Genomic DNA, 23,010 nt, shown 5'->3' with positions numbered 1-23,010 from the left:
CTAGTATGGCTAGTAACCTGGCTAACAAGGCAGCTTTGACAGAGTAAGGATGACCAAGAAATGCACTGACCCACAGGCACCCGATTAAGAGTAAATGCAGTCTACCAAGAAGCCACCTTGAATGGCAATGCTCATCTGCCTGGGCACCATCCAGCGTATCTCTTAAAACAATAAATAGGTCGTTCCTTATTTTACTGTCATCACTGGCTAAGAAAAGCAAATGGAAAAAGAAATTTTTAAAGGCAAGAATACCAAAGCTAGACAGGAAAGTAATGCAACCATAAGCATGGCAGCTGAGACACCAGCAGCATAGTGCGCAATGCACAAAGAACTGAGCTCCACCTCGCCAGGCACTCTAGAGCCAATAATAATTGATTTTTGTTTGCCTTTAAACAATACAACAAAAGCAATTGCCACTTGGAAGCTCAGCAAGGTCATCTGATGGTGACAATGAAAAAAACGTTGCTAAAGATTGGAAAGAGCAGGGATTAAATAAATTGTGTTAATTTACCAGAGCAATTTTCAGTACCAAACTGTCTTTGAAAGTAAAGACAAGGTCTGTGCATGACTAAAAAGCAAGAAATGCACAAGATGTTTTGGATCTAATGAACAATCTCAATATAGATAAGGTATTGGGGTCAGGTGATAGTTATTTATATTCTGAAGAACCAGAGCTATATATTGATAGCACCTGTGAGCAAAATACGTGTGCCATCTCAAGAGGCTCCACTACAGCAGGAAGGTTTCCCCACCTGGATATCACTTCCATTTTTTAAGAAACGGGATCAAGCTATGTTGCCCGGGCTGGTCTCAAACTCCTGGCCTCACGCAATCCTTTCGCCTCCCAAAGTGCTGAGATGAGAGGGATGAGTCATCACGCCTGGCCAGACTATGACTTCTTTGAGAGCTAAGACCACTCCTGGCACAGGAAGCTTTAGGCAGTTATGATCTTAATACACTAACGGGCATATTTTAGATTATCTACATGACCACTTTATGTAAACGAGTACTTCCCCATGATTTCTGGGGCTTCAATCGGCCCTTGTATTCAGGATCAAGATGACAACAGTAGTTCTGCTGTGTCTCCAGCTAACATAACTGTAGGTCAAAGACGTTTTCATGCTCTAGTACATAGTACAAGAGAAGTTTGAATAAAGGAAACAAAGGAAAACGGTGTTATGTTACCACCAACTGGCACATAATTGGTTAGGAAAGGAAAACTTACCCTAGCAGCCATGACTTCCTGAGCACAGATGATAGAGTTTTAATAAAATAGCATCACCTGTCACATTAAAATCATGCTATTAATTTGAATGGTATTCATTTGAGAATTAGATTTGTAACAAATTTGCATGTTTGTTACGGTGTTATAGTGATGGCTATGGTGATATACCAGCTATAAACATCCTTGTTCTTTTTATGTTTGGATGTATTTTAAGAAACATTGGGTCAGGCGCGGTGGCTCACGCCTGTAATCCCAGCACTTTGGGAAGCCGAGACGGGCAGATCACGAAGTCAGGAGATCAAGACCATCCTGGCTAACACGGTGAAACCCCGTCTCTACTAAAAATATAAAAAGTTAGCCGGGCGTGGTGGCGGGTGCCTGTAGTCCCAGCTACTTGAGAGGCTGAGGCAGGAGAATGGCATGAACCCGGAAGGCGGAGCTTGCAGTGAGCCGAGATCACGCCACTGCACTCCAGCCTGGGCAACAGAACAAGACTCCGTCTCAAAAAAAAAAAAAAAAAAAAAAAAAAAAAAAAAGAAACATTATAGTAAAAATAAGGCAACATGGCTTCTCACTGATGTTTTTTCTCTAAAGGGGTTCTACCTTACCGAAGCTTAAAAATACTGCACTACGGCTGGGCACAGTGGCTCACGCCTGTAATCCCAGCACTTTGGGAGGCCGAGGCGGGTGGATCACAAGGTCAGGAGTTCGAGACAATATGGTGAAACCCCGTCTCTACAAAAAATACAAAAATTAGCCGGGCATGGTGGCGAGTGCCTGTAGTCCCAGCTACTCGGGAGGCTGAGGCAGGAGAATCACTTGAACCCGGCAGGTGGAGGTTACAGTGAGCCGAGATCGCACCACTGCACTCCAGCCTGGATGACAGAGTGAGAATCTGTCTCAAAAAAAAAAAAAAGCTGTACTATCTCGTGACTAATTGTTCTTCCCAAGAAAAGCAATATTAGAAAAACTTGCTCCTTGAAGAGAAATTTTGGCAAAGAAAAAAACATAAGCACAATTAGTTAAGCATTGAGTAACAGTAATAGTATAATAGACAAAACATGTATTTTTATGTTTACTCTTCAATATTGGGCTGAGTTTAGAAGGTATCTTTTAACTTACTGACCCTGGCCAGGTGTGGTGGCTCATGACAATAAATCCAGCAATTTGGGAAGCTGAGGCAGGATGACTGCCTGAGCCCAGGAGTTCGAGACCAGCCTGGGCAACACAGCACGAACTTGTCTCTACAAAAAATAAAAATAAAAATAAAAAATTAGCCAGGCATGGTGGCGAGTGCCTGTAGTCCCAGCTGCTTGGGAGGCTGTGGTAGGAGGATCGTGTGGACTTCGGAGGTCAAGGCTACAGTGAACCGTGATAACGCCACTGCACTCCAGCCTGGGCAACAGAGTGAGATACTGTCTCAAAAAAAAAAAAAAAAAAAAAAAAGAACAAATAAATGAAATTATCGACCCTTCGATTTCTTTTTTTTTTTTTTTTTGAGATGGAGTTTCGCTCTGTCGCCCAGGCTGGAGTGCAGTGGCACAATCTCGGCTAACTGCAAGCTCTGCCTCCCGGGTTCATGCCATTTTCCTGCCTCAGACTCCCGAGTAGCTGGGACTACAGGCGCCTGTCACAAGGCCCGGCTAATTTTTTATATTTTTAGCAGAGACGGGGTTTCACCGTGTTAGCCAAGATGGTCTCAATTTCCTGACCTCGTGATCTGCCTGCCTCAGCCTCTCAAAGTGCTGGGATTATAGGCGTGAGCCACCGTCCCTGGCCCAACCCTTCAATTTCTTTGTCAAAATTTTCTATTGGTACTTTCATGCTCCACACATGCGAATATGAACATGGGATCTGAAAAGCAGCAGCCGCGCTTTAGTGCCATGCTGTGGTCCCATCTAGGCTGGCTACCAACTACATTTAGATGACAGCAACAAACAGCTAAGTTTTAAGCTCTCCTTTTCTCCATTTTTCACCAGATTTTGTATTAATCTGTGCCATAATTAAAACATAAACTCAGTATTTATTTCTCACAACATAAAACTTGAGGCCCTGTTTGCTCACCAAACTCCATGATCAGATTCCACCCCGAAATGCCCCTCTAAGCATCTATTTTCTAGCAGACTGGAAGGTGCAGCAAACAAGCTCCCCTCAAAGCACCACCACCTGAGCCGGCACCTTTCAGGACAACAGACTCCACAGGTGAAGTACAGAGACCTCACACTCACCAGATGGTCCCAACAGCCCAAGTGCACCCACGTACTGGGTGATCAAGCAAAAAATAAGACCTGGGACCGACACAAAGACTTCTTTTTACAAAGAGAAATCACAACTGCAAAACAACTATCTCAATCTCAACAAAGCAGCCTTCTTTGGAACATCATCCAAAGACTATCTTAAAATACACATATAACTTTGAAAATACCAATAATGAGATATTATGAAGAGTTCAACTAGGAGAACTCTGTCCCTAGAGCTCTAATACCATGGATAGCCAAGGGAGGCTGCTACATACATGCAGAATCTTCCCAGAACTGGAAAATAACCAGTAAAAGTGGAGAGTAGCCAAAAGAATCAGAAACCTTCCTATTTAGAGCTATATATCATTCTAGCCCTCTAATCATTCTCAACTAAAACAAACTAATTCTCAAAAGGGCTCCTTACCTCTAGCAAATCAAAATATTTTAATTTATCCCAAAGGGATAGTAATTAATTTGAGAAGCTTGCCATAGTTCATATGCACAGGGAGTAAAGTTTTTAAGTTATAAGTTTTACATTTTACCTTAATTATAACAGTATATTTTAAAGCAAAAGATGGTAAATGTTCCCATATTTACAACTGCAAGGGAAAGTCAACGTCTAAAGGAGGTTTCTTTGAACTACCTGCTGCAAGTCCTTCAGGATTGAAAAAAATCGATCCTATGCACAGCTGACTATAAATAACCACCTTCCTTCCTGCCTCCTCTAGTCTGGAGCCACCATGACAGAAAGAAAAAAAAAAAAAACAACCCACAGTCCAATGTGCATCTTCCTTGGCATCACTGTGAGATATGAAGCAGCAGGGTAAGCAGAAGGAGTAGATTCTGACATCTGGAAGACTTGCGTTCAAATTCTGGCTCTAACACTTACTAGCTGCAGAGCTTTGGCCAAGTGACCCATCCTGTCTATGCCTCAGTTTTTTATCTGAAAAACAGGAAAAATCATATTTATGATCTAACATGACTGGCTCACGGATCCAATTAGATAACCACGTAAAACTGATACTACACTACAGCAGGGTTTCTCAACCTCGGCAGCATTTGGGGCGAGATGATCGTTGTGGGAGCTGTACTGTGCCGTGTAAGATGTTCTGCTGCATCTCTGGCCTCCACCTTCTAGATGTCAGAGGCATCTCCTAAGCTGTGACAATCAAAAATGTCTCCAGGCGGCCGGGCACAGTGGCTCACGCCTGTAATCCCAGCACTTTGGGAGGCCGAGACCGGTACATCACTTGAGGTCAGGAGTTTGAGACCAGCCTGACCAACATGGTGAAACCCCATTTCTACTAAAAAATACAACAATTAGCTGGGTGTGGTGGCAGGCACCTGTAACCCCAGCTACTCGTGAGGCTGAGGCAGGAGAATCGCTTGAACCCAGGAGGCGGAGGTTGTAGTGAGCTGAGATCACGCCATTGCACTCCAGCCTGCGCAACAAGAGCAAAACTCCGTCTCAAAAAAAAGTCTCCAGGCATTGCCAAATGTCCCCTAGGGGAGAAGGAAGGGTGCAAGACAGGCCCCAGTTTAGAGCCACTGTACTAAGTATTTAATAGAGATAGGCTTCTTCCCCTCCTCCCATCTACCTAGTCCTCTGAAGAAACCTAGGGATTATTCTAGACACCTCCCTTTTTTTGTACCTAATCAATCAGTGACCAAATCCAATGGAATCTGCCTCCTAAATACCTCCTGCCTTATCCCCTGGCTCATTTTCACCGTCATCACCATTTCTGCCTGGACAGCTCTGCAACTGCCTAGGGTTGTCCAACTCAAATCCAATCTCCCCAAAGCTGCATGGTGAGCTTTAGAAAAGCCCAGATTGCCGGGCCCAACGACTTGCACCTGTAATCCCAGCGACTCAGAAGGCTGAGATGGGAGGATTACCTGAGGCCAGGGGTTCGAGACCAGTCTGGGCAACATACTTACTAATAAGAAAAGCCCAGATCTCAACAGGTTTCTCAAGGTGCCTCAAACAATATAGTCCCAGCTCCTTGATGAGGTCCACAAAGCTGTTCACATCCAGCCACTTCTTCCTTTGGCTTTTACAGTCTGGCCACTCAGGCCTCAGCTGTGCCTTCCCCACCCCAACCCCACCCCCAACCAACCCCTGCTTGAAGCACTCCCGGACACACCACAGCGTGATGGTTCCACTCCGGGTGTCTACAACCGGACTGCTTGTTCAAGTCCTGGCTCAGCCACTTACTAAGTAGTTCTGTGACCCTGGGCAAGTTATTTAACCTCCTTGAACCTCAGTTTCCCCACCTATAAAATGACAGCACCTACCTCAAAGGGCTATTGTGAGGATTTATGTTATTTTTCTAAATGTTTATTTTAATTGATGAAAATTGTATCTGTTTGTCATGTACATGTTATTTCGAAATACATACACACTGCGGAATGGTTAATTCAAGCTAGTTAACCTATGCATTACCCCACATACTTACCAAGTTTGCATACGAAGAACATTTAAAATCTACTGTCTTGGCAATTTTGAAGAATACATTGTTACTAACCAGAGTCACCATGTCCCACAAGAGGTGAGTTTGTTTCTGTAGCACATTTACATCAACACCTAGCCAAGTGACAACTTCATGGACAGGATGAGGTGGGTTGGCAGATTCCAAACTTCCTAACACTGCTGTCACTCCAGGGGAGGAGTGACATCTCAGTTTTCTAGGTCTGTTGTGGTTTAACACCTGGGCAAGGAGGACACTGCCCTTCTTAGCCAGGCAGCATGGATCCTGGAGTCACAAAAGAAACATTGGTTTCAAGCAGATGCTCTGGTATTGACAGTGGCAGTTTCAACACCTTCTTTGCCCTTTTAAGAGCCTCTGGGGGGGAAATATGGTATAAAGCAATCAAACATGGGTCTGCAACCTTCTTCCGTGGAACACATTTGCCTTTCTTGGGGCCTAGAGAGGAGAGGTCTTTTCACTTAGAATTTGAGGAAAGAGAATAAAGAGTAAAATTCTCAGTAATGACACAGACTAGAAAATAGGAGGAGGGGCTGAGCACGGTGGCTCACACGTGTCATCCCTGAACTTTAGGAAACCAAGGTGGGAGAAACCGCTGAGCCCAGGAGTTAGAGGCCAGCCTGGCCAACATACTGAGATCCCATCTCTTAAGGAAAAAAAAGAAAGAAGAAGAAAATAGGAGGAGTAATCTATATTGCATAAACAAATTAGAATTCAAAAAGACATTTAAAAAGATGTTTTTGCTTTGACCAACTGACCTCATGATTATCTAACCTGAGATCATCACTTGAATGGAGTAAACGGTCAAGGGGTCTGATTCGGTGCTTGGGACTGGAGATAAATCATTGGGATGTGGCTGTGGCTCTGAAGAGGTGCCTAATCTATACGAGACAGACACATAAACCAACAATCCTTCATTGCTGTCAGTGAAGTATTCAGTAGAAGTAACTATGCAGAAAGGTGCTATTGAGTCTGGGATGTGAAGAGGGATAGTTGGAGACAGAGTGCCCAGCTTTGAACAGTGACCTCTGAGCTCACTCTTAAATAATAAAACACACTAACAGCTGTGATTCTGGATGCCCAGGCTTCATTGGTCCCTGACCCCTGTCCAGGCCTGTCTCTCCAGTGTGACAAGTACTCCAGTGCTACCCCAAATTCCTTCAGTTAATTCTTTCTCTGTTGAATTCATCAGATTCAATTGCTGTTGCCTGCAATCAAAACCCTATCAAAGATTTTGTATCAAAGAGAAGATGCGCTACAAGAAACTGGAATGGCTGGGAATGGGGAGGTACTGGTTCACGAGTAAGGCATTTCCAGTTTTGCAAGATGAAAGAGTTCCATGGCTAGACAGGGGTGATGGCTGCCAACAGTGTGCATGCATGTAATGCCACCAAACCATACACTTTAATGTGGCTAAGAGAGTCCATTTTGTCATGTGTATTTTACCACCTTTTTGAGATGGAGTCTCGCTCTGTCGCCAGGCTAGAGTGCAGTGGCACCATCTTGGCTCACTGCAATCTCCGCCTCTCAGGTTCAAGCGATTCTCCTGCCTCAGCCTCCCGAGAGGCTGGGATTACAGGTGCGTGCCACCACACCCAGCTAATTTTTGTATTTTTAGTAGAGACGGGGTTTCACCATATTGGCCAGGATGGTCTCTACCTCCTGACCTCGTGATCCACCTGCCTCAGCCTCCCAAAGTGCTGGGATTACAGGCGTGAGCCACCGCGGCCGGCCTTACCACCATTTTTTAAAAATTGCTTTAAGAAATTGGAATGGCTGAGTGAAGGGAAGTGGGTACTCAGAGTCCCACAATCCCAGTGTGGGGAAGTTGCTCATTCTTGATACACCAGAGAGCAAAAGCAGAGTGGGTTAAACTGCCCCTGTTGTCTGTTAGACCCAAAACTGTGTGCCTCTTCATTCTAGGCTATTTTAAAATTGCCTCAAGGCAGATGTGGTGGGGATTAGCAGGGCTGTGGGACTTACTGTTAAGACCCAGGAATTCCCAGAACCACAGACCTCATCTAGGTGAGATCACTGGCTGCCATTACCAGCCCATGGAATTGACTAGACACAAAACTCAGAGCCTGAGTTTTCCTGGGAGCAGTTTTGCCAAAGACATTCTCAGTAAGGCTGGAACAAGCCTGTGGCTATTCAACCCCAAGACAACCAATCCTGAAGCCCCAGACTAATGCCAAGCAGCACCCAAGAAAAGGAGCTTTGCCAGTGCCTACCCCATCCAGGTGCAGCTGCAGAGGACAATGACCAAGCGAGATTCTCACCCTGGACGGACTTCAGCAGAGGCAAGCTGCCAGACCGGCTGACCAAAGCAAACGCTCCCAGCTGTTCCTGTTCAGCCAGCTACCCCACTGTGAGTGTCTTATTTTCCCCTTTTCCAAATAGAAGGTTCATTGTAGTCATCCTGTTCTTTCTTGCCCATTGCAGGTTCAATGTTTTGAGAGACATAGCCTATTTAGTCATAAATCACCAGATAATTAAAAAAAAAAAAAACCTCCTTTCAGGTGTAATATTACCCAGAAATCCTTGCAATACTTAGCTGCATATTCGGGTCACCTCCCTGGAGAAAGGGAGCATGTGCATTTCACGAAGCCAGGGGCATTTCTGAAGGTGGATGGATTATCCAAGGTGTGGAATGCAGGGTCACCGTGCCTGACTTTACCCCTGGCTCAAAAGGTAAGAAAAAAAGGTAATTCTATCTCCTCCTTGCCACGGTGACTGGTTGCAGGATGAACAGATCTCAGCCTCTGTGGGCCCTGAGACACAACAGAAGATTTAAGGCACAGGAGGCCGTTCTCTTTCCTTTACAAGTACACAGTTATAAACAAACAAACAAAAAAAAAAAAAAAAGAGGGCATAGCTCTGGCTGGGCATGGTGGCTCACACCTGTAATCCCAGCACTTTGGTAGGCCGAGGCAGGTGGATCACTTGAGGTCAGGAGCTCAAGACCAGCCTGGCCAACATGGTGAAACCCCATCTCCATTAAAAATACAAAAATTAGCTGGGTGTGGTGGTACATGCCTGTAGTCCCAGCTACTCGGGAGGATGGGGCAGGAGAATCGCTTAAACCCAGGAGGTGGAGGTTGCAGTGAACCAAGATGGTGTCACTGCACTCTTGCTTGGGCTACAGAGTGAGACTGTCTTGAAAAAAAGTAAAAAAATAAAAAAAGGCATAGCTCTGTCAGTGGCAGCCAGCCTAGGACCAAGAAGCCCTGGAAAGAGCCAGGCTGTAGAAGGGAAAGCAGAAAAAACAATGAACCTGGTTCCTGAAGACATCCCTGAGCTGGCCCATTTCCCTACTGTCTAGGTGAACATTTCCTAATTGAGACATCATAGCTGAACAACATAACTAGTTCCCATGACAACTATCAATTATCTTTCACAATTTATGGGCCACCATAAAACACGAATTGAGACAGACCAACTCAAGCCTCACAATTCTAAGATGCCATCAACTGTCAGCTGTCACTTTTTGGGGGTGAGAGGAGTGGAGGAGGATGGTGTGAGTACAAGAAACCTACCAACACTTTAAACACATATCGACTGCAACATGAATTCAGAATTATTAAAAGGCTGGGGGAAGGGGGACAAGGACAAGTCTCTGATTAAAAGTAACATGGTGTTTGTCAACTCCTCCCTTCTGTTTGGGAAGAGATACACTTTAGGTCACACCCAACAGTGGCTGGATATTACAAGTCAGTTGAAAGAAACACTGAAGAGCTGACCGCTCACAGGTGAGTATAGCTATGCATAGCTATCACTTTGATATCTAAACCTATTCAACACCTTATACGGTCATGAAAAGGTCTCTAACTCAAAACCTAAGAAAACAATAATAAGGAGAAATGGATTTGAGTCTGATCACAGGAGACAATTTCCATAGCACACACAAAAAATTTCAGAGAACCCAAACCACTACTAGCAATGTAAATTACTTTCACGCAACTGGAGTGCACAGAAGGATGGAAATTCAAACTTTAAGTGTCCACAGTGGAGAGAAATGAAACATCTATTTTGCAAACTGCAAGTGGGGAAAAAGAAATACAATTTACCAGTCATTTTTTCCTTAAAATAGTCCTTGCTCTATCTCTCCAACTCCCAACGTAGTGGTGAGCTCCTAATATGAAAATGACCTGGTAATCCTTAGACACAAAACACAAGGCAGACCCTAAATAAGTGTTCCACTGAACAAACACTATATCAGTATTTGTGCTGAACAAGTACTATAACTTTCACTTGAAGCTTGAAGTACATGCCTTTCAGGGATTTTTAAACTCACTTTTAAACTTACTTTTATATTAAGAAAAAAAGGTTTATTGTAGAAATATAGAAAACACATGTAAGCAAAACACAAGACAATAAAAAATTACCTATAATCCCCTTTGCTCAAAGATAACCTCCACTAACATGCTGGAATATATCCCTAGTTAGTTTTTCTTTTTTCTTGTTTTATAGAGACAGAGTCTCACTATGTTGCCCAGGCTGGTCTTGAACTCCTGGGTTCAAGTGATCCTCCCACCTCTATCTCCCAAAGTGGTTCAGATTACAGGCGTGAGCCACTGTGCCTAGCCCCTAGTCATTTTCTCTACATATAAACACTTAACCACAATAGGATTCTACTGGATCCACTGTCTTATAACCTACTTTTTCTATTTAATATTATACTGGTGACATCTTCGTGGTATTAAATATTCTTCAACACTGCCCCACCCCACCCATCACTCCCACAGCTGCAGTATACTCTTCTGTACCTCACTTCTCAAAAGGAGGAAAAGCTCTTACTCCTGGCTTAAAGTGTTCTCTTTAATAATAATACCAATAATATTCACTGAAAATTAAGGTATCAATTCCAAAGGCACGGCACATACCAATTTCTCAAGAATCAGCATAAGCATACTCTAGAATTCAACGTCAACATGGGAAGTTCAGCTCCCTGTAGATGTAGTTCAATCCAAGAGCCACATTCATTTATCTTCTGGTGTTAACAAGTGAGGAGGAAATACAGTCTGAAGCTTAAAAACCAAGTTACTGACAATAATTACGGCTGCATCCAATTGTCACACACAATGCATGAAGCACAAAAGGAATGAGAGCAAGGAGGAGAATACAAAGTGAAATGATTCAGTCTTGCTTTTTCTTTTTCTTTTGAAATGAGGTCTCATTCTGTTGCCCAGACTCGAGTGCGGTGGTGCAATCATTACTCAGCGCATTCCTGAACCCCGGTGCTCAAATTATCTTTCCACCTGGGCCTCTCAAGTAGCTGGGACCACAGGCATGGGGTCTCACCATGTTGTACAGGCTTTGCTTTTCCTTTAAACCTTGCACTCCTTCCTCTACCCAAAACAAACTGGGCAAGATGAAGTCAGCATGATGAGGACACCCAAAGACAACTCACTTAATAACTGAGAAGGAAAAATAGAGACTAGCAAAGAAAGCAGAAGATTCTCCACAAAGTCCCATTCTTCAGGTTCTCAGGGTAGTTAGGAGATTCGTAAGTAAGTTTGTGGAGCCTGTCACGCTGTGGGACACAAACACATTTTTTCCCCATTACTAAATAGTACTGAGTGCTTACTAAGCAAAGTAATTCTCTAAATAGATTAGGGTTACTTGCATTTTCTGAAAAACCAAAGTAACTTCCAGCATTAAGAAAAAAAGAACTTATACATGTAAATAAAACCCATTCAACACGAACATCTTCAATTAAACAAGAAAAATTAATAGAAAGGGTCTTCATCTCCTACATTACCTCTGACCCAAAGTCTGCCCTCACCGGCCTCCTCACATTAGTGACATCCAACACTCACTTGCCAAAACATAAAACTAAAACTTAACATCACATAGGTCAGGTAAAAGAAATGATTGGCTTTGCATTTTCCAACATTCATTCATAACAGATGTTCAAAGGGGACAACTCAGTGCAACCTCCGGTCAGCTAGGGCAGTGTTGGCCATGGTTCCCAAGTGCACTTCTCAGTATTACAACAATCTCAGCATTTACCCACAATGGGAATTCCAGCTTTACAACACACTTTTAAATATACATTATAAGACATGATCCAAAACTGCACCCAAGAGACGAAGAGCTAAACCTTGAGTCAGGTTGGAAACTGGAAATTAATTAGAATGTAAAAATTGTTGGCCGGGCACGGTGGCTCATGCCTGTAATCCCAGCACTTTGGGAGGCCGAGGCAGGTGGATCACAAGGTCAGGAGTTCGAGACCATCCTGCCTAACATGGTGAAACCCCGTCTCTACTAAAAATACAAAAAAATTAGCCGGGCGTGGTGGTGGGCACCTGTAGTCCCAGCTACTTGGGAGGCTGAGGCAGGCGAATGGCGTGAACCCGGGAGGCAGAGCTTGCAGTGAGCCGAGATTGCACCACTGCACTCCAGCCTGGGCGACAGAGTGAGACTCCATCTGGAAAGAAAAAAAAAAAATTGTTAACACAGGCAAGACCAGGAGCTGGAGATGCAAATCAGGCCCTTGTCACTGCACTTCTGGATCCCCTCAAAACAGGGAACACGGTCTCTGCCTGGTAGACAGGAGATGGAAACATGCCGGAGCCACTCAAGCAATCCATCTACATGTCACTTCAGTGTGCCTGGGAAACCATTGGTCCACTGCAGCCCAAACAAACAAAGTGACAGGTGATGGGACATCACCCAAACCAGCAAGAGGACAGTTCCCTTGGTTTGTTCATCCTCTTCATGGGACCACCATCCTTACAAGCCTTTCCAAGTTCCACCTTCACAGAACAGGTTTCACATCACAGCTTTTTTTTGAGACAAAGTCTCACTCTGTCACCCAGGGTGGAGTGCAGAGTTGCAATCTCAGCTCACCACAACCTCCATCTCCCAGGTTCAAGCGATTCTCCTGCTTCAGCCTCCCAAGTAGCTGGGATTACAGGGGCACGCCACGACGCCCAGCTAATTTTTGTATTTTTAGTAGAAACGGGGTTTTGCCATGTTGGTCAGGCTGGTCTTGAACTCCTGGCCTGAAGTGATCTGCCTGCCCTGGCCTCCCAAAGTGCTAGGATTATAGGCATGAGCCACCATGGGTGGCCACATCATAGCTTTTTAAACTTAAAAAAAAAAAAAAAGAAAAACTCACTTTTGAATGGCCCTTTTCTTTTGGTGAATAGGAGGTATAAAAAGAATACAAAATCTCTTGGTAGATGTCTGCCTGCCAAGAAGTCACCAAACACTGAATTTGATGACAGCAAGGGAATCTGAGAGCCTTGACATTTAACTTGGTGCGTTTTGAATCAATGCAGGACTGAAGTCAGGGACAAAAAGTTGACTGGAGTGTCAAATTTAAGCTAGTTACCCCAGATACACTTATATAATAAGGCTTTTCTCACCTAAAGGGATTACAATAATCAGCACTCCAGTTCAAAACAAAATATTACAATCATAGTGAGATTCTATTATTCATGAAACAAGAGGCCCAGATCTTTACATCGCCAACCACCAAACGCCCTGCTACAACTTCAGCCACGGTCTTGCATCAGGAATCAAGAATGTCTCTGCTAATCAAACACCAGTAGTTGTGATAATTATCAGCTCCTTCTCAGAGTAACAGAAAGTTACAGAAGGGTCCACACAGCAGAACTAGGACTATTTAGAAAGTCTCTACTAAATCTAAATCTAGTTTCTAGTTTTCTAAATCTAGTTTTTTTTATTCTCAACTCTAAATTATGCTATCATTTCCATATTCCAGCAACAAGCAACACCCGAGCCAACAGTAACATTAAACAGTGAACAGCACAAACATTGCCACCTATAGTCTGAAAATGAAATACATTTGAAATACAGTTGTGACCTGGAAGAGAAACAATGTAAAAACAGAAAGTAACATTTTGTCACACTTCTTCCACCCTTCTTTAATCCTCCTGCCCTGATACTTATTACCATTATATTATTTATATATTATTCTAATCCTCCTTAGCATGGACTACCAAAAGATCAACATATAGTTTGCTTTATCGCTAATTAACAAATATTTCAGTAAGACAGACCCACTTATTCAAATACCTGCAACATCAAAAAGCTTGAAAACTCTTAAGTTAGGATCTCTTTTTTTCACTGCTGCTACTCATCTAAGACTGGAAATTCAAGGGCAACAATAAAATCTGTTTAATGCAGATCTTGTAACTCAAAATAAAAAATTTAATTGGCTCTTAATCTATCACACATTGCCATGTTTTCATGATGCCATTTTAAACACCGCACAAGCAAACAGGTTATTAAATTAGCAATGGGCATAGTTGCTTCCTTTTGAAATGAATGCAAAAGTAATTTAGCAGAAACTCCAATGTACTGCTGCAATAATGTCACACTCAATCATTCTTAATATTTTTAAACAGTTTTATTCAGATGTAATTCATACACAACACAATTCATCCATTTGAAGGGTACAAAACTCAATGACTTTTAATATGTTGGGAGTTCTTCTTTGGGGTGATCTTTGTTTGTTTGCCTTTGTTTTCTGAGACAGTGTCTTGCTCTGTCACCCAGGCTGGAGTGCAGTGGCATGATCATGGCTCACTGCAGCCTCAACCTCCCAGGCTCAAGCCATCCTCCCACCTCAGCCTCCCCAGCAGCCAGGACCACAGGTGCGTGCCACAACACGCAACTAAGTTTTTGTATTTTTTGTAGAGGTGGGGTTTCACCACATTGCCCAGGCTGGTGTCAAACTCCTGGGCTCAAGCAATCTGTCCACCTCGGCCCCCCAAGATTATTCACTTTTCTTGGGAAAATATACCAGATATATTGAGGTACTCCAGAATCCCAAAACAAACTTTCCCAAGTAAGCTTCCTGGTGATGTGGGCACACACTGCATTGAAGAAATGCCTGAGTACCATGCAATGGTTTTCATTTGAATTGCATTCTGTAATGGTAAAGAAACTACAGTCATCTGAGGATCACCATTTGTCACTGTCCTCACCCTTTAAGCAAAACTATTACTATTCTTTTTTTATTTTTTATTTTTAGTTTTGCTCTTGTTGCCCAGGCTGGAGCACAATGGCCCGAACTTGTCTCACTGCAACCTCTGCCTCCCAGGTTCAAGCAATTCTCCTGCCTCAGCCTCCCGAGTAACTGGGATTACAGTTGCCTGCCACCAAGCCCAGCTAATTTTTGTATTTTTAGTAAAGACGGAGTTTCACCATGTTGGCCAGGCTGGTCTCAAACTCCTGACCTCAGGTGATCCTCCAGCCTCGGCCTCCCAAAGTGCTGGGATTACGGGCATGAGCCACTGCCCCAGCCTGTTATTATTGTGACAGAGTCTCACTCTGTCACCCAGTCTGGAGTGCAGTGGTGCGATCTCGGCTCACTGCAATCTCTGCCTTCAGGGTTCAAGCTATTCTCCTGCCTCAGCCTCCAGAGTAGCTGGGATTACAGGTGTCCACCACCACACCCAGCTGATTTTTTTTTCATTTATTTATTTATTTATTTTGTAGAGACAGGGTTTCACCATGTTGGCTGGGCTGGTCTCAAACTCCTGACCTCAAGTGATCCACCAGCCTTGGCCTCCAACGTGCTGGGATTACAGATGTGAGCCACTATGTCTGGCCTGAGCAAAATTATTTTTATTCCTTAAATTAAGGAAACTGATGTTCAATAATGAAATAAACAATCATAACATTCTGATTTAATAAAACTAAATATAATGAAAATTCAAATGTCAATGTCTACAAATTCCACAGACACTACATCATTGAAGAAAATAAATTCTATTCATTAGTCTTTTTTTTTTTTTTTTTTTTTTTGGAGACAGGGTCTCACTCTGTCGCCCAGGCTAGAGTGCAGTGGCATGATCTTGGCTCACTGCAACCTCTGCCTCCAGGTTTAAGTGATCCTTCCACCTCAGCCTCCCAAGTAGCTGGGACTACAGGCACGTGCCGCCATGTTTGGCTAACTTTTCTATTTTTTGTAGAGACGGGGTTTCACCACGTTGCCCAGCCTGGCCTCAAACTCCTGAACTCAAGTGATTCTCCTGCCTCGGCCTCCCAAAATGCTAGGATTACAGGAGTGATCACTGCACCCGGTCCCTATAATCAAATTTTAAAACAACATGTTATATTCATGAATTTTAAAAACTGATTTTAAATGTCACCATGAAAACTAGGTCCTTTTAACATTTGTTTCTCAAACATTACCTATATGTCCTGGGTATACAGTCTACCATCCAGCATCTAGGCCCGACACAGGCACTTGGACTTGGCATGACTGGGCAAGCCTTCTCTCTCTTCAGAAAACGGCCTGTCAGCATTCACCTTGAGATCCAAGCAAAATCTAAACCACAATTTTTGAAAGCAATCTTGTCCTCACCGTTTTGCACAGCTGCAAAGATGGCACATAGGGTTTCCCAAGTAATCTCTTGAAAATACACACAGGCCACTTTTTAAAAACTAACAACTATTCTTAATCACTTACAGACGGCCATCCAGTTGGCTATGATCTAGGCCCCCAGTTCCTTCTGTGCTAATGCCTATTTAAGAGCACTTCTCTTTTTCTAGCACTTTCCTCAAACACAGAAAAGCAGAAATCTGACTACTCGTTGACTTAAAAGTACTGAATGATTGGGGATATTGAAACTGATGGCATGGAGTTTTCCCAGGTTTCTAGTCACTGTAATTCATCAATTCTAAAATATCCTTTTTCTCATATTTCAACTTCTCTGAAATAAGGATGCTTCATAAGATGGACAGTATGTCATAACTTGACAGCAATTTTTTCTTCGTGGTACATGAAATAATGGCATATCTTAAAAGTGACAGCACACTAAAGTGAAAGAAATATGGCATCCACGCCAAAGGTTAGCCTTAAAGGTTTGTTATGAAGTGGATAATTATATGTAAACAAGTAGAAAGACCCCTAAGACAACAGAAAGTAGTGGTGACTGCAACCATAGCACAACTAGCTGCCACATCTCAAAGGACATAATGCCAGCCACTGACTGTAACTAGGTTAGAATGTGGCCCCAATTAAGCCAGATTTTTACCATTTTCATGAAATTTCCAAGCTTTAAAACACTCTAGAGACCACATTAAGCAGGGTTCCTGGTCAAATCGGGCCCAGCAGCCATCAGTTTGCAACCAGTGGTGTTTATTTCTCTTACATTATCTTAAATAATCTAGATAGTAAGACCTTTCAAGGCATTTGTCAGAAGGGGAGGATATTCAGCATGTTAAAAACTAGGCCTTTCTATTCAAAATAGCTGGCTCCATAACTTAACTTGTTTTGTGTCCTTATGCAGGTCACGTAACCTCTTTGAGCTTTCATTCCTCATCTGTAAATCACAGCCTACCTCACACAGTTCTCATGAGAACTAAATGACATAGTATGTGCACAAGGCTTAGCACTTTGCTCTCATGGCGCATCTTAAAAGTGACAGCATCTTAAACTGAAAAGCATACAGGATCCATGCCAAAAGTTAACCTTAATGGTTGATTAAGAAGTAGATAATTATATGTAAATGAGTAGAAAGACCCCCAAGCCAGCAGGGAGCCGTGGTGACTGGCACCTATAAGCAGATCTGCCACATCTCAAAGGACATAATGCAAGCCACTGATTGTGACTAGGCTAGAATGTGGCCCCAATTAAGCCGGATTTTTACCATTGGTATAGAAGAGGCATTCAAAAGTAGCCAACTATCCGTGTTTGTACAGGATAAGGAGAGAAGGTGCCATTTATCCTATGTCAGCCTGGCCTTCATTTCTATGCCATTTGCTTCATTTTAACTACTAACGAAATTACTTAATGTCATATCTAATGTGATAAGAAGCTGCCATTCAATCCCAGTATTTTGTTCAGTAGAAAAATCTTTTCAATAAATGATACCTTTCTAAAATGGAATAAAAGATTTCAGAAAGTTAGCGGTAACATTCATAAGTAAACTATGCCAAAATGCACTACAGATTGCCAAAAATAAAGAAATAAAACAAGAAATCCACAAGGACTCAAGCCAGATGCAGAAACTAGTCCAAAGTGTTCTGATTCCAAACCAAATCTGATCTTGGGCCATGAATCAGAAGTTTTGTTAAACTGCTAATCCCTCTAACACCAAAAGTCCTTCATCTGATGGTTTTGAATCTGGCTACCTAAAGTGACATGACTTAAATCAGGGTAAATATGAATTATAACTCACCAGAGAAACCTCCGCCCGAAACACACAGAAAAAATTAAACAGCACATACATTCACACAAGCAAAGCCCACATCTCAACCCCTTACCTTCTACAAAGTGGACAGACCTCTGCTGATGACGCAAGGAACAGCACCTAAGCCCTGTGCTTTGGCATCCCCGTTTTCTGGGTTCATGCAATGCTTCATCATCAGCAGTGCAGAGAGCTCAACAGTCTTTATGAGATGGGACATAACTAAGTGCACTCCAAACATACCATGCTTTTCAACAATCTCAAATCAAAATACGAATCTACTTTTAAGAAATGTGGTAGGTATGTGTGTCTACTTTGCTAAAAGATTTATGAGGTCACTCTTCTAAATAGCGGTCAAAATATCTTCATATGTGATATTCTGCAGCACACCAAGTCTGCAAACTAAGTGTACCCATATTTAATACGCCTTGGAAGAACAACCCTGCCGTTTGCTTCAGCGGGCATTCTACTTTCAGAGCCTGCTAAAATCTTCCATTGGTTTTTCTTACACATACTAATTCAGGGAGACAAAACAAGCTGTGCAAATTCAACAATTTGTCGTTAATATTCTACGAAGGCATTCCCTGATTCTCTGAAGGGCAACGTGACAGCATGAAACTGCCCATGAAAAACAAATACCAATGAAATGTGAAGTCATCAGAACTGCCCTGGCTTATTTTTTCACTGGTAGGAGAAAGTTGAAAAAGGAAGACGGCTGAGACTCATCTTGTGAAATACAATGTGTGTGGAACTAAATACTACCAGCGACATGGCAATAAATAGATAATAAAAGGTGTCTTCATCACCTCTTGCTATTTCCTATACAGCCCCAAATTCCCTTCTAGCAACATGCAGGAGTGAATCCAGTCACATGCCAACACACACTCGGACTCTGTTTACATTCCAAGCTTCACTTTCACACTAGACATCAGTTATGATGATTAGTAGTGACTCCTGTGGACAAAAGTGGCAAGATGTGCTCTAGGTAGATTCTGACACTCACTGCCAATGTAAATAAAGCACAAACAACAGTGACATTAACGTGTTTCATTTATCCAGCTGCACTTCCCAAAACACTCTTAAAATCGTTTTTTCGGGGGAGTTTTTACAAATAATCATGTTATTAAAACATTTTTTAAAAGAACCTAGGATGAAATGCAGCTGTCCTCACCCCCACCCCCCACAATACGTCAACCCAAGCAGCCCCTTTGTTTAGGAATGTCTGCGTCTCTGCAACTCAGGGCCTGCCCTCTACTGCCACTAATTAAATGGAGAAGTAGAGGATGCAAGGGAAAGCTCCTCAAAGAGAGAAGCCAGGAGGGAGAGGAGAAGCCCCCCGGGTCAATGAAACAATGCTACTGTCACCTATCCCCAGGTAGTTACACAAAACGGGAAATTATTTTACAAAAGCACAGCGAGGCAAAATAAACACACAAATCACACATTATTTGCACTGTGATCATTCTTTGATCAAATAAATACATCAAGCTTTGCCTAGCACCGCTAAGAAAAAAATTCATACCCTAAACACCCTTCCCACCCCAAAATACCTTTCATTCCACACTTACGTAGCACACAGGCACACACACACACCATGCCAGGGTAGGAGAGCCGCAGAAAGCGGAGCCATAACGCGAGCCTGTCTCAGATAATAGCCTTTCTTCCAACCCCACCCCCAACACGAGAGAAAGAGGGAACCTCTGAAAAGAAAGGAGGGAGGGGAAGAAAGAGAAATCGAGAACGCCTGAATTTCCAGGCATCAACTTTTCATGAAATGCACAACCAGGATAGGAAATACCTCCCTGCTGAGTAATGCTTCTTGGGTTGTAAAATTCACCTCTCGAAAGGGGAGCCAGACCTGAGCGCGCACCCCGCCAGATGGCAAACCACTCCTACCTGCTCCATCCAGCCTGCCTGTCACGCCGCGCCCGCGACAAGCGTCCCACCCCCCTTTTTGGCAGAGCAACATACCAATAAGAGCCGAGCGTGGCTGGTCGAGAGAGGACTAGGCAGTGATTTAGCAGGATTGTTTCAAAAGGGGGGAGTGGGAGACACGGAAGAGAGAATGAAGGTAAAAACAAAGCCCTTTCCAGTGAAACCGACCGCCTGGGAGGCGTGGCTTATTCAGTCGCTTTATTAATAAAAGAGATCAATTAAGCTTTCCTCTCCCCACCCACCCTGGAGGTGCCGGGCTTTGAATCCTCGGGAGGAAAAAATGGCAGGGCTGCAAGCTTCCTCCCCAAGTTTCCAGGAGCACCTGCCACCAGCCTTGAACACCTCCCCCACCGAGGCTCCGAAATCCACAATCCTGGCCGTAGACTTTGCAAAACGAGGGGAGGGACACACGCAGCGTGTCCCCCATTCCCGCCGGGATAAGCACGCACAGGCTTCTGAGCGCCTGCTGATCCACACAATCATGAGAGAGAAAGTTCCAGGGGGAAACGATCCGGCTTCTCCGCAGTCCCGGGTCTCCAGCCGCGCGACCCAGACGTGACATGCATCATGGACTCCCGGGCTGCAGGGGCGAGAGGCGGAAAGTTGCCCAACAGCCCCGGGAGACGCTGCTTGGAGAGGAAGAGGGAAGAGAGGCACGCATGCCCCCTCCCTCTCCTCCCGAAAGCGAGGAGCTGCGGAGTGAACCCCCAGCTCCAAGGGCGTCGCGCCGCTTTATTTACAAACAATGAGCTCGGCTTGCGGAGGGTGGGGGGTGCGGAAGGACCCAAGCTCCCCTGGATCCCGCTCCGGGGCGCTCCCGCTTTGGGGCTCCCCTGCAGACGCTGGGCACGAGCACCCCGGGGACGGCCCCTTTCCCCTCCCCCTGCCGGCGCGGGATAGGAACTCCCCGGGGAGTCCCGAGCAGGAAGGGGGTGCCACTCACCTCGTCTTCGGAAAGTCCATAGACCGGCTCCCCGAGCCCGGTCGCCATGGAGCCGGCGCCCCGCGCGGGGTCTGAGGCGCTCCCAGCGGCTGTGCTGCGGCGCGGACGGCCGGTTCTCCCCTCTGCCTCCAGGTCCCCCCGGTCCCGCACCCTACCCTGCGCACGCCCTGCCGGGTAAGCGGCCGGGCGCCGGCAGGTGAGGGTGCCCGAGAGCGCGCCCTGGACGCTGCCGGCACCGCTTCCTCCCGGAAGGCTGCGGGACCAGCGGGCGGGCGGCTCCCGAGAGCGCGCCGAGCACCGGGCGGCAGCCCCGGCGCCTCTCACTGCGCGCGGCGGCGGCGCAGACCCGGCCGGGCTTTCCCTCCCCGCGACCCGCGCCTCCCTCCCGCCCCGCCGCTCTCCGCCCCCCTCCGAGCCTCCTCTGCGCTCCCGGGGACCCGGCTCGCCCGCCTCCTCGCTAGCGCCGTCCGGGCCCCCGCTCTCTCCGCCCCCTCCTCCGCCTCCTCCCACCGGCGCCGCGAGGGTACCCTCCCCGTTCGCCGGGGCGGGCACACGCGCCCCCCAAGCCAATCACAGGCCGGGCTGGCGAGCGGGCCGCGGGCTGCGGGGGTGGCGGAGTTCAGCCCCACGCCCACCCCGGCCCGGGGCCTCCAGCGCGGCGCGGCGGGGGTCACCCGGCCGCGGGGCGGATCCGCAGGGGCGTGTACTGGCGCGCTTGGCCGGCGCCGCCGACCCTCCCTCCTCTCCCGGTTTCCCTCCGCTTTAGGGAGGGGGCGGGCTGGACGTTTGGGGGCGATAGAGGATTTTGCGAACAATAACAAAAACGCCCTGAGCGTTTCTTCCTCCCGGTGGTCTTTTTACCGAGAGCCCTGAGCTCGCTGTTAACTGTGAAAAGGGGAAAAGATGGATGTTTCTAGACCCCTTTAAATTCTTTGCGGCCCCGACGAGCAGGACTTGGCTACATTGTCAGCTCCCGGGAGCGAGCCGCCCGGCCCGGCTGCCAGCCGAGGAGAGGCTGCCCCAGTGTGGCCGCAAGTCGCCATTGCCTGTGTCAACCTTGCAGGGAACAAAACCAACATAGCGCCCGCCCCGGTTACACACCCACCCACGCGAAAACAGACAGCATGGTTCTTTGAATAAAAAGCAGTTCATTTGTGAGCCGCAACGTGAAATATCAAACTCAAGCTTAAGGTTATCCTTTGCATATGCAAATGATCGAGACGTCTTATTAGCCACCGTAGGATTCTTCCCACCACCCAGCTACCGTTTCTCTAGCAAGCAGTTCATTTAATCCTTCCGATTTATAGGACTGCAAGAGACTACTTTAAATAAGTGAAAGAAATTCGTCAGTCGACTTTTTCGGAAGCCTTTCCTTAAATTTAGATGTTAAGTGCAGTTGGGAGTTCAAAAAGAAAACAGACGCAGAACATTCCATTTGCCTTTGAAAAGGAAACGTCAAAGTGCCTACTTGGGTATTACCAGGATGCATTTAGGATTTTCATTCAAGGAAGTTCAGAGAGAACTCGCGTGACCCGAAGGAATCATATTCCTCGTTGCCAGCTACATAACTAAATATCTGCTGTTCGCCCTGCTAGTTCGTTTTCAAAAGAGCCCACCCATGCTACCTTAAGCTCTCCTTTGCCTTCCTGCAGCATGACTGGCTTAAAACCTGTGCCGTAGAATGGGTTTCCTTTGACGACTTAGCCCCATGGAGTCAACATCCTACTCAGAAGCCTTCTCTAGAAGTCTTGAGCCGTCAAGTCCACAGTACTTACAGGCCACAAAACCCCCAATGAGAACTATTTATGGAGGACTATTTAAAAGTCAGATTTCTGTCCATTCTTTCAATACTGAGGTTTTTCAACCCTTTCAAACCTCGAGTCTTTAGACCGGGCACGGTGGCTCAAACCTGTAATCCCAGCACTTTGGGAGGCTGAGGCGGGCGGATCATAAGATCGGTAGTTCAAGACCAGCTGGCCAATGTGGTGAAACTCCATCTCTACTAAAA

General features: G+C 45.3%; 1 protein-coding gene across 21 annotated transcripts in view, besides 2 other annotated features; it reads right to left on the bottom strand.

Annotated features, from left to right (window-relative positions):
• NEDD4L (NEDD4 like E3 ubiquitin protein ligase) overlaps positions 1-21,485 on the bottom strand; it is a 357,315-nt gene extending 335,830 nt beyond the window's left edge. For 10 of the 21 annotated variants that reach the window (XM_006722426.5, XM_047437406.1, XM_047437407.1 and 7 more), the window contains exon 1: positions 21,003-21,485. In XM_006722426.5, the coding sequence (XP_006722489.1) occupies positions 21,003-21,050 (48 nt within the window). In that variant the 5' untranslated portion in view covers positions 21,051-21,485. Of the gene's footprint in view, positions 1-18,200; positions 18,486-19,692; positions 19,778-19,922; positions 20,055-21,002 lie in introns of those variants that run through there. The other 11 variants (XM_024451129.2, XM_047437402.1, XM_047437404.1 and 8 more) reach the window with 4 other exon arrangements.
• Positions 20,851-21,400: a silencer, noted in NCBI's record as "silent region_9483". NCBI's record gives its function as "represses an Ori minimal core promoter by ATAC-STARR-seq in GM12878 lymphoblastoid cells {active_cell/tissue: GM12878}" and the evidence as "EXISTENCE:reporter gene assay evidence [ECO:0000049][PMID:35858748]".
• Positions 21,421-21,790: a silencer, noted in NCBI's record as "silent region_9482". NCBI's record gives its function as "represses an Ori minimal core promoter by ATAC-STARR-seq in GM12878 lymphoblastoid cells {active_cell/tissue: GM12878}" and the evidence as "EXISTENCE:reporter gene assay evidence [ECO:0000049][PMID:35858748]".

The sequence above is a fragment of the Homo sapiens genome, chromosome 18 (assembly GCF_000001405.40).
Source record: "Homo sapiens chromosome 18, GRCh38.p14 Primary Assembly".
Taxonomy (NCBI): domain Eukaryota; kingdom Metazoa; phylum Chordata; class Mammalia; order Primates; family Hominidae; genus Homo; species Homo sapiens.
The sequence above is the reverse complement of the archived record's forward strand: the minus strand, read 5'-3'. Positions and strand labels throughout refer to the sequence as shown.